Source organism: Homo sapiens, chromosome 3, assembly GCF_000001405.40.
Source record: "Homo sapiens chromosome 3, GRCh38.p14 Primary Assembly".
NCBI classification, from domain to species: Eukaryota; Metazoa; Chordata; class Mammalia; order Primates; family Hominidae; genus Homo; species Homo sapiens.
In genome coordinates, this window is record NC_000003.12 from 48,624,991 (window position 1) to 48,636,441 (window position 11,451).

Sequence of the window (11,451 nt, forward strand, 5' to 3'; positions counted from 1 at the left end):
CTGCTGGGTCACATGCCCAGATGTCGGCATTTAATGGCAGAAATCAACACACACTCCTTGGCTGACAGTGTTCTACCATGCCCAGGTGATCTGTCACCCATGCGGGGCATGATCTGGGCTCATTGCAACCTCTGCCTCCCAAGTTCAAGCGATTCTCATGCCTCAGCTTCCCGAGTAGCTGGGATTACAGGCATGTATCACCACGCCCGACTAACTTTTGTATTTTTAGTAGAGGTGGGATTTCACCATGTTGGCCAGGATGTTCTTGAACTCCTGATGTCAAGTGATCCACCTGCCTCTGCTTCCCAAAGTGCTGGGATTACAGGTGTGAACCACCGTGCCCGGCCCGGTCATGCTTATTCTTAAGCATAGAGCAGCAGTGTGGGGGAACAGCTGCTCCTAGGTGTTCACTCTGTATCCTCCAGGGACTGCCCATTGGCACCCACGCTGCCCTGTACCTTCTCGGGTATTCCTGAGAGCAAATTATTCCTGAGAAGCAGCTCTGGTTCCAACTGTTTCACATCTGAGGAGACAGCGAGTGAGGGCTATGCATGGCTGGGGAGAGACCTTAACAGGGGATGCCTCCACAGCTCCCCTGCTCTGTACCCTAACCTCCCGAGTCCTTCCTACACCTTCTGCCCCGTCTCACCTTCAGGGCACAGGAAGGGTCAGCAGCCACAGCTGTGGACCACCCACCACCAGGGCCCCACCAAGCCACAGCAGAGACTGGAGTTGAGCAGACAAATCTTTATTCCTGAGGCTAAAATATGCACCAGTTCCCTCCCTGTACCGCGCCACTGCCAGCCTGACTGCATGCAGGCCCTGTCCCAGACCTGGAGCGCTGAACTTGGAGTCCCAGGACCTCCTTCCCTGAGTTGTGTGTGTGTACATGGAGGGGACTCCTGGGTAGCACCTGGAGGCGGCCTAGGGGTGAGGGGCTTCTCAAGGGTGCCCTGCACCTCCAGAGGTGCAGTCTTGGGCAGGATGTAGCATGTTCAGAGTCTGGTGACCTGAGCAGGCAGAGGAGGGGAGGCTCTAGTCAGTTTCCAAAGGACACAGACCAACCCCCGCCCCTAGAACAGCTTTATCCAAAGACAGCGGAGAAAGCACTGGGCCCACTGGGGACAGAGCCATGGCCACCAGGAAAGACTCCCTGGAGCTGGGGCCAGGGTGGGGACAAGCAATAGATTAACAAAAAAGAGCTTGGCAGGCCAGAGGTAGGCTCACCGAAACAGGGCTGTCGGGGACAGGCCTCGGGTGTTGGAGGGCAAAGGTGACAGCATCATGGACAGAGGCAAAGAGATGCTTCTTGGTGATGGATGCATCGAAGAAGTGCCCAGCCTCAAGCTGGCTGACCACAGGGCCTGTGGGCAAGAAGTAGGCCTCCCCTGACTCTCAGAACCTCTAGGAACTCAACTCCCGGGAGCCAACAGAATGCCCTGACCTCATCACCCCTGACCTCCACCCCTGAGGCTACAGCTGAATCCACATCACTTGTAACCCTGGACTCCTGTCTCCCAGGACACCTCTGACCTCCAGTTCCAGAGAAAGACTTTTTCCTTGTGCTACTTGGAAAACCCCTTGGCCAAAAGTATCCTACCCTCTTCCCAGGTCCCTCCTGCTGTTCCCACCCTACTCACTGTGGCAGGCCGCCATGTACACCTCCACCTCAATCTCCCGGAAGTCATGGAAAATCTGTAGCGGAAAAGGGGGCCAGCCTCAGAGGGAGGCTCAGGGACTCAGAGGGGGGCTCGGGCAGGCTTGGGGAGGGAGTTTAGAAGGGGAGCTTTGAGGGTTTGGGGAGTCAGAGGCTGGGAGTGCTCTCAGGGCAAATTACAGGGTCAGTGTGGAAGCTCGAGGGGCCTTGGCCTGCCCCCGTCCTTACATTCTTCAGGCTCTTGAGGCACACAGTGTCCACAAAGGAGAGGGCACCCAGGTCCAGGATGAGGCTGTGGAAGTCTGGCTGAGGCAGGCCCAGGGCCTTCAGTGTGGACCCATCTGGGGCCTTGGAGTCTTCTTGACCATTGGCTGTTGCATCTTCCATCTTATCTCCTGAGCTCACCTGCTGGGGAGCCAGACATGCTGCCAGGGCCACCCATGAGAGAGTGAAGGCAGGACTGGCCGCACACAGACACGCGAGAACACGCAAGGTCAGATGGGGAGCATGCATGGGACACATAAGGACACAAACATGCGGGAGTCACATAGGTGTGCAAAGACAGGAATGACAGATGTGTGGGGACATGCAGGAGGGCACACCCAGATGTGCATATACTGCTCTGCTACCTCCTGGGCCGACGCTGCACAGGGACACGAGAAGGGAGTCCCTGTCCCATTCTCATCAGCCAGGGCTGAGTGGGGAGGGGGCCCAGGAGCAGGCCAGAATAGACACGGGCATCCACATGAAACGCATGCAGACACCTCGGCACCCTGCCCTGTCTCAGTCTCTAATTAAGTTTGGCATCCTCTTTGACCCCTCAATTTTTTTTTTAGAGACGGGGTCTCGCTTCATTGCCCAGGCTGAATGCAGTGGTTATTCACAGGCACCATTAGAGCGCACTGCAGCCCCGAGCTCCTGGGCTCAAATGATTTTCCCGCCTTAGCCTCCCGAAGAGCTGGGACTACAGGCGCGTACCACCACGCCTGCCTTTGACCCCTTGATTTTCTCCCATATACCCCATCCCTTTCCTCTACCCATGAGCAGACTCTGGGGGAAGTCTTGTGGGATCTACAAATTCAAGGTCTTCATCTAGGCCTGAGAATCTAAGCCTAGATTCTGTGGCATATCACGACGCTCCCTGAAGAATATCTGACCCAGCCTCCCCACTCCTCCTGCCATCGGCGCAACACCCTCGAGCCCACAGCTGCTGGGTCCATGGCATTCCTCATGAGACATGTGGATCCTGCATCTCTGCAGCTCACAGCTGTCACCTCCTTTCCCACCTCCAGTCTCACCATCATCTTGCAGTCCTCAACGTTGTTGCTCCTCATGTCTTCAAGGCTGGTGTTGACATTAATGGAAACTGAGGCGCCCTTGGGGGAGGCAGCCTACACCAGGGAAGACAGGGAATGGGAAACAGCTAGCCCGGCTGCCATGACAGCCATGTCACATAGGCCTGGTGATGCCCCCTGGTGCTGGGCAGGTGGGTGGGCCAGGACCAGAAGCTGTGGGACCTGCAGCAGCCAGGCTGAAGCTCCTGGAACAGCCGTGAAAGGGAAGAGGACTGTGACGGTTCTCACTGTCACTGGTTCAGATGATGGGAGAGAAAATGCTGCCTAGAGCCCGGACCTGCTAGGGGAGTGAAGCAGGGTCCCTGGGAGCATGAGGGAGAAAGGGGAAGGGATGAGGAGTGAGGACGAGGGAGGAGTCGGGGGCCAGGAGAAAGGCTGGGGCAGGGAACAGGGGGCAGGAGATGGGGGTCACCAGACAAAAGGGGCCCTGCCTGTTTCCGAAGCTTCTCCTCTTTCTGCAGTTGCTTCAGCTTCAGCTGCTCCTGCTTCTTGAGCAGTTTCTTCTTCTGGGAGATGAGGAAGTCGACATCCACACCACACTGGAGGCAAACATCAGAGAAGGGTTGGTGAGCTCTCTGGGAGCTGGGGCCTGACACCCATCCTGGGGACTCCGTCTCACCCTCTGCTTCAGCGCATCACTGTAGAACTCAGCATTGGCAAAGTACACGGTGGCCGAGGAGCGGAAGACCTTCACCCCCCGGACTTCCTTGGCCTGGGGATGAGGCAGAACTGGTGGTGGCTGAATCTCCTCTCTCCTGGCTGCATCCTGTTCTCCTGCCTTTCCTTCCCTAGTGTGCCCAGTGCCTGCCACCGCCCAGCCCTCTGCTCCCCAGGCTGCAGTCCAGGCCCTCCCAGGGGCTTAGGCCACAAGCCCGACGGTGTCATCCCCATCCCCCCACAGTGCCTCTCCCTCCCCACCTCTCCTGCCACCACCCAGGCAGGCTTCACAGGCTCTTAACCTTTCTCTTGGGTTTCCAACCCCTGCCTTGTGTTCTGTTTTCTGCACCCAGACAGAGGTCCTCCTAGGCTGTCATATCAATCAGACCTTCCCCGCTCCCACCCCATTCGGGTCACAGCCCGGGTCTCTGCTGGGCTCCAGGCATGCATGGTAAGGGCTGGGCTGCCCCCTCATCCTCTCCCATGTCTCAGACCCCTTAATTCCTCCCCGCACTGCCTAATTGCACTGTGCCCATGTTGCAGGCAACAGCCTTGTTTTATTCCAGAGCCCCCCACCTATGTTCCTAGCACTTGGCCCAAGACCTCTCAGGAGATAAATGGATGACTGAGGACTTAGTAACCCCACTGATCAGATCAGGAAATGCCTCCCTTCCAACCTGGCGCCCCAGGGAGCTGCCATTCCGGCTCTCTGACCCACGGCTGCTCTGCAGGTGGAGCTTGTGCTGTTGACTCCACGACAGACCCCTCCCCAGCCCCAGACCCATCTCTGTCCACTCTCCCTCTGTCCCTTCATACCTCTAGAGGGGGTCATAGACCTAAACTCCTCCCTTGAAATCCCAAAGACCAAAGCCAAAGTATCCTCAGCCCCCAGTTCCCTGGCCAAGTGTGGAACGAATCCACAAAGGCTCATTCTTCCTCCGTCTCCCCATCCACACCATCTCACTCAGCCCCTGACACTCACCTCTGAGTACTCTGCCACATCTCTGTAAATATCCGTGTCTGGCACCTGCCCCAGGACAGAGTAGTGGGGCCTGTGAAGGAGAGAGAGAATGCACGAAGAGGGGGCAGAAAAAGGGGATAACAGAGGGGTCCGAAGGAGCCTGAAGTCCCCAGAGATGTGGGGAAAGCTGCGGGGAGCCCTGTGGTACTCTCTCACTAGCTGGAATGAGGGGACCAACATGGCGGACTCACATCTGTGTCCGGACCACCACGAGCAGCAGGGAGAAGATGACCGCAACCACCAAGCCAAGGTCCAGGTTCAGCAAGATGGTGGCCGTGAAGGTCACCAGCCAGATAAGCTGAGAACAGAGGGCAGCGGTTGGAGGGCGGCGAGGAGCCATGGGGCTGCCCAGTCCCTGCCCTGGGCTCCCAGTGCACTCACCAGATCCGCCCGATTGGCCTTCCAGAGGGAGCGCATGTCGCTGAGCTGCCTCAGCATGCCCTTCAGGTTCACAATGATGATGGCTGCCAGGACCGCCTGGGGTGGGGACAGTGCCACCAGGGGCCATTGAGGGCACCCGATGCTGACAACCCTCCTCACCGAGGCAAAGCCAGACTAAGCCCAAGCACTCAGGCAGTACCCCAGACACAAACCCCCACCCAGCCCCTGACCCTTGTCTCCAAATCTCACCTTGAAGATCTCAGCCTTGAAAAACAGAACCTAACCTTGTGTCCCCACCCCTCGCCTGAACCTAGACTGGCTGATTTGAGAGCCCTGGCCTGGCCAAGACCTGAAACCTGGCTGGGTGGGGGCTCACCTTGGGCAGGTCATGGAAGAGTTCCCCAAGTTTGACAATGATGAGGAGGATGAAAAGGGAAGAGATGGCTCCAGCAACCTGTTCGGGGAGGGAGTGAGCAGGGGAGAGACCTCCTTCCCCAGGCAAAGCAATGTGCATGCCCACACCCATGCCCACACCCAAAGCCCACCTGCGAGTTGCCCCCGGTGCTCTCCTGTACCAGGCTCCGAGACATAGAGCAACTCACGGGGAAGCACTGGAAGATGCCTCCGATAAGGTTACTGAGGCCCAGGGCCACCAGCTCCTGACGGGGGACAGTACGGGTGTGAGAAGACTTCCTAGAAGTGGCTGGTCACTGTTCCACTGTATCTAGGCCTGTGCATCCCCAATCTCCATCCCCACCAAGTGGCCCCCAGAGACTGGATGCTGTCCCACACGTCCTGCTCTCCCACCCTCAGTCCCCCACGTGGCCTCAGCACATCTGCTGTCTCCCTGTGTCCCACCGGTTCCTCCCCCACCCGTTGCTGGCGCCTCCATACACTTGGATGCCTCCTACACATCCCGCATCACCCAGACCTGGTTGCTGTCCACCCGGTAGCCGTGCCTCAGGGCGAAGATCTTCCCCAGTGAGATGGCAATGGCAAACCCAACCACAGCGATGGTGAAGGCGCTGCCCACGAGCTTTGAGAACAGCTGGGTGTTGGGGGCCACTGGGGGCACCAGCCTGTGAGAGGTATCTGTGAGGCCAAAGCAAGGTCCTGTCCTGGCTGCCCAACCCTCCCTGACCTGATGGAGGCCAGAGCTCACCCTGCAGGGATGTTGCCCACGACATCTACCTCAAATCTGTGCTTTAGACCCATGCCATAGGAGATGCCTGTGGCCCCGATGAGCTGTGGGAGAGGACAGAGTCAGGGAGGCAGGTGCTGGCACCATGGTCAGGGGGACACATAAACCACTGTGAGGTGAGGAGGGAGATACTGGGCAAAACCTTCTTCGAGGGTGGGAAAAAGTCACGTAGGGTGAGAGACAGGCAACACCATTTCGGCTATGGGGAGATGCTGTCAGGGGCAGGAAGAAACCAACATAGGGGCTTTCTGCTGTGCCCCCCACAATACCCAAGAACCCTCCCAGCCCCCCTCCAGCTGGCCCTCAAATACAGGAGGCTGCCCACGTGGCAAGGACCCAGCCTGACCTGCCCTTCTCCCCTGCCCTCCACTCCCTGGCCCTCGAACCGTGAGCAGCTCCCCGGGTATCGGCATGGGCAGCTGCTGCTGCAGCTTGTCATTCAACAGCTTCACCACCACGAGCACCACCCCAGCCACAGCTGCAGTGACCACGGTGCCAACCTTGCTCTGGGGCAGCTTCCAGCAGACCTCCAGCACTGTCTGAGGAGAGGCCAGGTCACAGCTAGCACTCAAGGCCATGGGGCACACCTACCCCTCCCTCCCCCTACCCTCACTCACATAGATGAGGGACAGTGGCCCAGAGTGGCTGCTCAGATGGAGGCCAAACACATACTTGAGCTGTGAGACGAAGACCTGCACAGCTGCAGCTGTGGTATAGCCTCGGACAAGAGGTTCTGACAGGTAGGTGACCACGAAGCCGAAGTGGATCAGGCCCAGCCCCACCTGTGGGGCGGCCAGGGGCAGTCAGGAGAGGCAGGGGTCCTGGGGTTGCTAATGAGGAGCGCAGGGCAAGTGGGATGGGAGGGGGATGAGTAGACGGCAAGAGGAGGACGACGATGGTCAGACACTCAGGGGAGTACAGACAGGACAGTGGCGGGAGCAGAAGTGGTGGTGGGGGGCACATACTCCTGACTGTTCCACACCTGGAAGAGGCCAACCAGGACACTGAGTGTGGAGGCCACCTGTACCCGGGCAGCATCTCTGGCTGTCTCATTGATCATGGAGTCGTTCAAGGCCTGCGGGGCCAGGGATTCTGTCACACTGCCCACCATCACAGACATGACAGCAAAGGTCCCTGTAAGGACGGCACGGGGCAGGTCTGAAGAGGAGAGGACACTGCCCTGCCCTGGAGCCCTGGTCTTAAGAGAGAGGCCAGGAGACTTCCAGTTCTGGATAAATGTACTCAGATTATGGCTGCATGAACAGGGACAGTGCTGGCGGTTCAGGTTTGGCCAGGCCAGGAGTAAACCCTGAGCTCACAGGCCCTTAAGCATGGCTAGAAATGCTGGCCCTGTCTCATCTACCCTGTCCCACCTGTGTCTACTGGTCCCGGGACACAGAGGCTCTCTGTGGAGTAGGGAAGGGGTCAGGGCTGGCCTTAGGCTGCTCAGGCCTCTGCCAAGTTCCAGGCCCCTTGGGCTGCCTCACCCACTCTCATCTTCCTGGAGCCAGGGCTTTGAGGTCACCTGCCTCTGTGGTCCTACAGTCAGGGGTCTAGTCCTGCCTGGGGATGACTCGTGGGCTAGCCCAGGGATGCAGCACCAATGCTGCCCTCTTCCCCAGCCGCTCCTGCCCTGCTCAGTGCCCCCTCACCCTGCCCTCCATGATGGATGTGGGCATCCTCCTGGAAGGCTAGGCCTGCCTCCACTTACCCACGGAGATGTGCCGGGAAGTGCCAAACAGGAAGTAGATGAAGACAGGGTAGAAGGAGCTATAGAGGCCAAACACGGGGGGCAATCCAGCCAGGAGGGCGTAGGCCAAGCCTAGGGGTAGAATGGTAGCAGTGCAGGCCTGGAGAGCAGATCTTGAAACGATAAGGGAATCCCAGCCCTGGGTTAGGTGCCATAGTTCCAAGGTAGAGGTCATGGCCCCAGTTTTGGGCATCACAGACCACAGGGTTTCCAGGCCGACGCACTGAAGGTGGCTCACCCTGCGGAAGCTGCATGATGGCCACACTCAGGCCGGATAACAGGTCACCCAGGAGCCAGTCACGCACAGGATACCGGGGTAACCAGACCAAAACCGGGAGGTGTTGGAGCAGAAGGGCATAGGCCCGAGCACGGGAGCACCTAGGGACATGATATGAGGGGTAGGTGTCAGGAACAGGGGCTACCTGGGCCCCGCCAGCGCCCCCAGGCCCCAATCTTGGCCTTACTGCAACCAGGTCCGCCACTGGTGGGTCCTAGGTGCTGAGCCCCAGCGCCCCAGCTCCTCCAAATGCTCCTGGTTCAGCAGCGGCCGTTCCATGTGGTAGTCTCGCCTCCGCAGGTCCATTGCTTGTGTTGCAGACAGCAGTGCCTGTGTGTCCCTCGGTCTGGGGTGGCAAGACCAGAGAGACACAGTGAAGGCATCCCTGGCCCAACCTCCCCTACACCTCCACCTAGGACCAGAGAGTTACCTACCTGATTTTTCCAGGCCCTAAGATCAAGGTACAGTATTCCAGCCCCCAGCTGGCATCTGTGGGCCACATGTCCAAACTCAGACAGGGGCAGTACCTGAACTTTGGCTGGTGAGAAAGCCTCTTTCTAGGACAAAGTCCCCCAAGTAGGGACTGCAGGATGAGCACTAGCTATACCTCCAGCCGAGATGTGGCAGCCCAGTGCTGAGTGTTCTACCAGTCCAGGTCCCAGGCTGCTCCCTCCCCCACCCAGTCCCTCTCCAGTCCCCAGGTCCTCCTCCAGCTGCCCCGGGAGCCCACTGCTGGCTGAGAGCACACTCAGGGAAGGGGTCCAGCAAACCAGGGGTCCAGCTCCTCAAGCAACTCCTTTCCCAAGCCTCAGGCCTCAGATGAGACCCTCCCCTCTAAGGGAAGGAAAGTGTTGGAGCCAAGCTTGCCCCTGGGCCTCCAGCCCCAGGGTCCAGGTTGTAGACGGCTCAGGCCTGTTATGGGGAAGCCAAGGACTGGCTCTCACCTGAGAAGGAGCTTGCTCTTGGAGTGGCAATCTCTCACCTAGAGGGAGAGGCTCCCACATGGAAAGGGAAGTACCCACTTGAAGTGGGGGAAAGAGCTCACCTGGGAATAGAAGCTTTCAAGGGGAATCTCACCTAGAGGGATCTCTGACCTACCAGGGAATCTTTATCAGCCTGGCAAGTTCTGATACAGGGGGAATCTTCCCTCTGCCCAGAGGCACCTACTTGAAGTCAGAGAAAGATCTCACATGGGAAGAAAAGACCTAGAGGGAGAGGGTTCTCACCTGGGGGGTACTCTCCCATAGAGAAAGCTCTGACCTCGGGCGAGGCTCCCACGTGGAATGGGGAAAAGCTGTCACCTGGGAATAGATCTCACAGAAGGATCTTACCTGGGGGAAAACTCTAGCCTGTTGGGGAAGCTTTCACCAGTCAGGAAAGTTCTGATCTAGGAAAAGCCCTGACCTGGGGAGAGGATCCCATTTGAGGGACAGGAACTCACCTGGGAAGCGCCTCTAACCTGGCTGTACTGTTGGAGGAGTGTGGAGTGGGTGCAAGGAAGATCCTCAGAGACTCTTGGGACCGCTATCTCAAGGAGATCGTAGAGCCCCCTCTCCTTTCCTACGTGAGTCACTCAGGTCTTCTTAAAGGGCTCCCTCCCCCGACAACTTGGGACCCGCGTTTGGAGGGCGGAGCCTTGATCATTGGCCCCTCCCTGTAGGAAGGCAACTGGGGCCAGAAAGGCCGGAGCGCTCACTCCGGGATCAGTGGAGCTGGGTGGACTCGGGACTCAGCTGAAAGCAGCTAGTCCACGGGCCGCTGCCAGGGACTCCCGTGCCCCACGCACCCCCGCCGGCACATCTCCTGGCCGGGCTCCTCCGCACGCAGCTGCCTCCCTGTGGCCCGGGATGGCCCTCGGGCGTCACACCAGCGGCTTTCCGCACAGCCCAAGGGACTGGGGTCGCGCCGGCTCCCGCCCCCACCCCTTGCTGCAGAGGGGCAGCCGCCTGCAGAAAATCAGCAGAGGTAAACCGAGGCGTCGCAAGCGGAGAATGCCTGCTCCAGCGAGGCGTCGCAAGCGGAGAATGCCTGCTCCAGCGAGGCGCTCGCGCGGGGCCACCGGGAATGTGCGCTGAACTCACCCCGACGCATCCGCCAGCCCCATGGCTCGCAAGTTGTCCGGTGCGGGCTGCTCCTGCTGCTCGAGCTAGAGGCCGCTACGCTCCGGAAGGCGGCGCCGGGACCGGGTGAGGCCAGCTGCGCTCTCCCGGGGGCTAATCCCGGGGCAGGACGGGGAGGCTTGGGCCAATCAGCGCGCTGGGGCGGGGCCTAAGTGGCGCGCGCCGGGCGGGGAGAGACTGGAGAAGGAGGATTTAACCGCTTCCTCCCCGGCGACCTGGCCTATGAGGCCTCTCGCTGCTCGCCCGGCCCTCTGCCCGGAGCTGGATGGGACTGCAGAACTGGAACTAAGCACCCGCGCCGGGCTGGCCGCAGTCGCGCCCCCAGGCCCTGAGTAGGTTGGAGCTGATCCCAGGTCCTGGCTCGGCGGAAGGTGCTCACGGAGTGGGAAAAGGAAACTCCACTGGCCGGTGACCCCAGCCTTAACTCGTAGGGGATCCAGGTCTGTGGGGCCTCTCTTGCCTTCAGCTGAGAGCGCCACCCGCAGGCTTTCTGCGACTACGCATCTCTTTGAGACCCGGAGCCAACGGTCCCCAAGTCCTCCCCTTTAACTCTGGCCACCCAGGCCAGAAATGGTTGGAGGATCCCCTCCGCTGCACTAAGCACAGCCCGGACGTAGCTCCCAGAAGGTTACTGCGCGGGCCGCCGAGGAGAATGGTGGGGGTCAGTGCTGTTGGGTGGGCGTCAGTGCTGTTGGGTGGGCAAGGCAGGAACTGCAAGAGCAGTTCCTCAGGTTGGTTTCACCGCAGGTGAGGGCAAAAAATGCCGGGTCAGGGCTGCAGACCCTGAAGAATTAGGAAGTCCTGTTGCCGTTGCCTTGACCAGCGGGGAGGTTTTCCTTAGCACCTTATTTTCAGCACCTGTGCTCCAACATCAGGCCCCAATTACAAAGTGAGGGGCCAGATTTCAAGGTGAAAGAGATCTGCCATGAAATGGGCTAAAAATAGCTGGATATTCTTGGGAGGGGCTCAGATTCCTCCCAAAGGTCAGTCTGGCTTGAATCATTCACAGCTTCCATCCTACCTCCCCAGCCC

General features: G+C 59.2%; 1 protein-coding gene and 1 non-coding gene across 7 annotated transcripts, besides 4 other annotated features; both read right to left on the reverse strand.

Moving 5' to 3' along the window:
* SLC26A6 (solute carrier family 26 member 6) lies at positions 733-10,471 on the reverse strand. 6 transcript variants are annotated; one of them, NM_134263.3, is made up of 21 exons: positions 10,381-10,471; positions 8,487-8,645; positions 8,261-8,400; positions 7,984-8,094; positions 7,255-7,406; positions 6,890-7,054; positions 6,659-6,811; positions 6,234-6,316; positions 6,003-6,150; positions 5,617-5,730; positions 5,448-5,525; positions 5,072-5,167; positions 4,882-4,988; positions 4,652-4,721; positions 3,632-3,724; positions 3,444-3,551; positions 2,956-3,048; positions 1,886-2,062; positions 1,641-1,695; positions 1,228-1,364; positions 733-1,010 (listed from the first exon to the last, which is right to left on the reverse strand). In NM_134263.3, exons 1-21 carry the CDS (start codon positions 10,401-10,403, stop codon positions 996-998), a joined length of 2,277 nt encoding a protein of 758 aa, NP_599025.2. In that variant the 5' UTR covers positions 10,404-10,471; the 3' UTR covers positions 733-995. The 6 variants fall into 6 exon arrangements, with proteins under 6 accessions (NP_599025.2, NP_075062.2, NP_001268661.1 ...); NM_022911.3 differs by having other exon boundaries at positions 1,886-2,065; NM_001281732.2 differs by lacking the exon at positions 7,255-7,406 and having other exon boundaries at positions 1,886-2,065; positions 6,659-6,807; positions 6,890-7,102.
* Positions 4,487-4,987: an enhancer, noted in NCBI's record as "H3K4me1 hESC enhancer chr3:48666910-48667410 (GRCh37/hg19 assembly coordinates)". NCBI's record gives its function as "activates a minimal SCP1, AML or CMV promoter by ChIP-STARR-seq in naive H9 embryonic stem cells {active_cell/tissue: H9 hESC(naive)}" and the evidence as "EXISTENCE:reporter gene assay evidence [ECO:0000049][PMID:30033119]".
* Positions 4,988-5,488: an enhancer, noted in NCBI's record as "H3K4me1 hESC enhancer chr3:48667411-48667911 (GRCh37/hg19 assembly coordinates)". NCBI's record gives its function as "activates a minimal SCP1, AML or CMV promoter by ChIP-STARR-seq in naive H9 embryonic stem cells {active_cell/tissue: H9 hESC(naive)}" and the evidence as "EXISTENCE:reporter gene assay evidence [ECO:0000049][PMID:30033119]".
* On the reverse strand, positions 8,646-8,708 carry MIR6824 (microRNA 6824). Its single transcript, NR_106882.1, has one exon. It is a non-coding gene; the product is annotated as a microRNA 6824 (primary transcript).
* Positions 9,910-10,009: a silencer, noted in NCBI's record as "silent region_14335". NCBI's record gives its function as "represses an Ori minimal core promoter by ATAC-STARR-seq in GM12878 lymphoblastoid cells {active_cell/tissue: GM12878}" and the evidence as "EXISTENCE:reporter gene assay evidence [ECO:0000049][PMID:35858748]".
* Positions 10,400-10,679: a silencer, noted in NCBI's record as "silent region_14336". NCBI's record gives its function as "represses an Ori minimal core promoter by ATAC-STARR-seq in GM12878 lymphoblastoid cells {active_cell/tissue: GM12878}" and the evidence as "EXISTENCE:reporter gene assay evidence [ECO:0000049][PMID:35858748]".

Bases quoted from the DNA above. Each gene is read 5' to 3' on its own strand.
- SLC26A6 (NM_022911.3), bottom strand. From the start codon at position 10,403: ATGGGGCTGGCGGATGCGTCGGG. The intron at 7,407-7,983 runs GTAAGTGGAGGC...CCGTCCTTACAG, and splicing joins TTCCCGGCACATCTCCGTGG to GGACCTTTGCTGTCATGTCT. The intron at 1,696-1,885 runs GTAAGGACGGGG...TTTCCGCTACAG, and splicing joins GCCTCAAGAGCCTGAAGAAT to ATTTTCCATGACTTCCGGGA.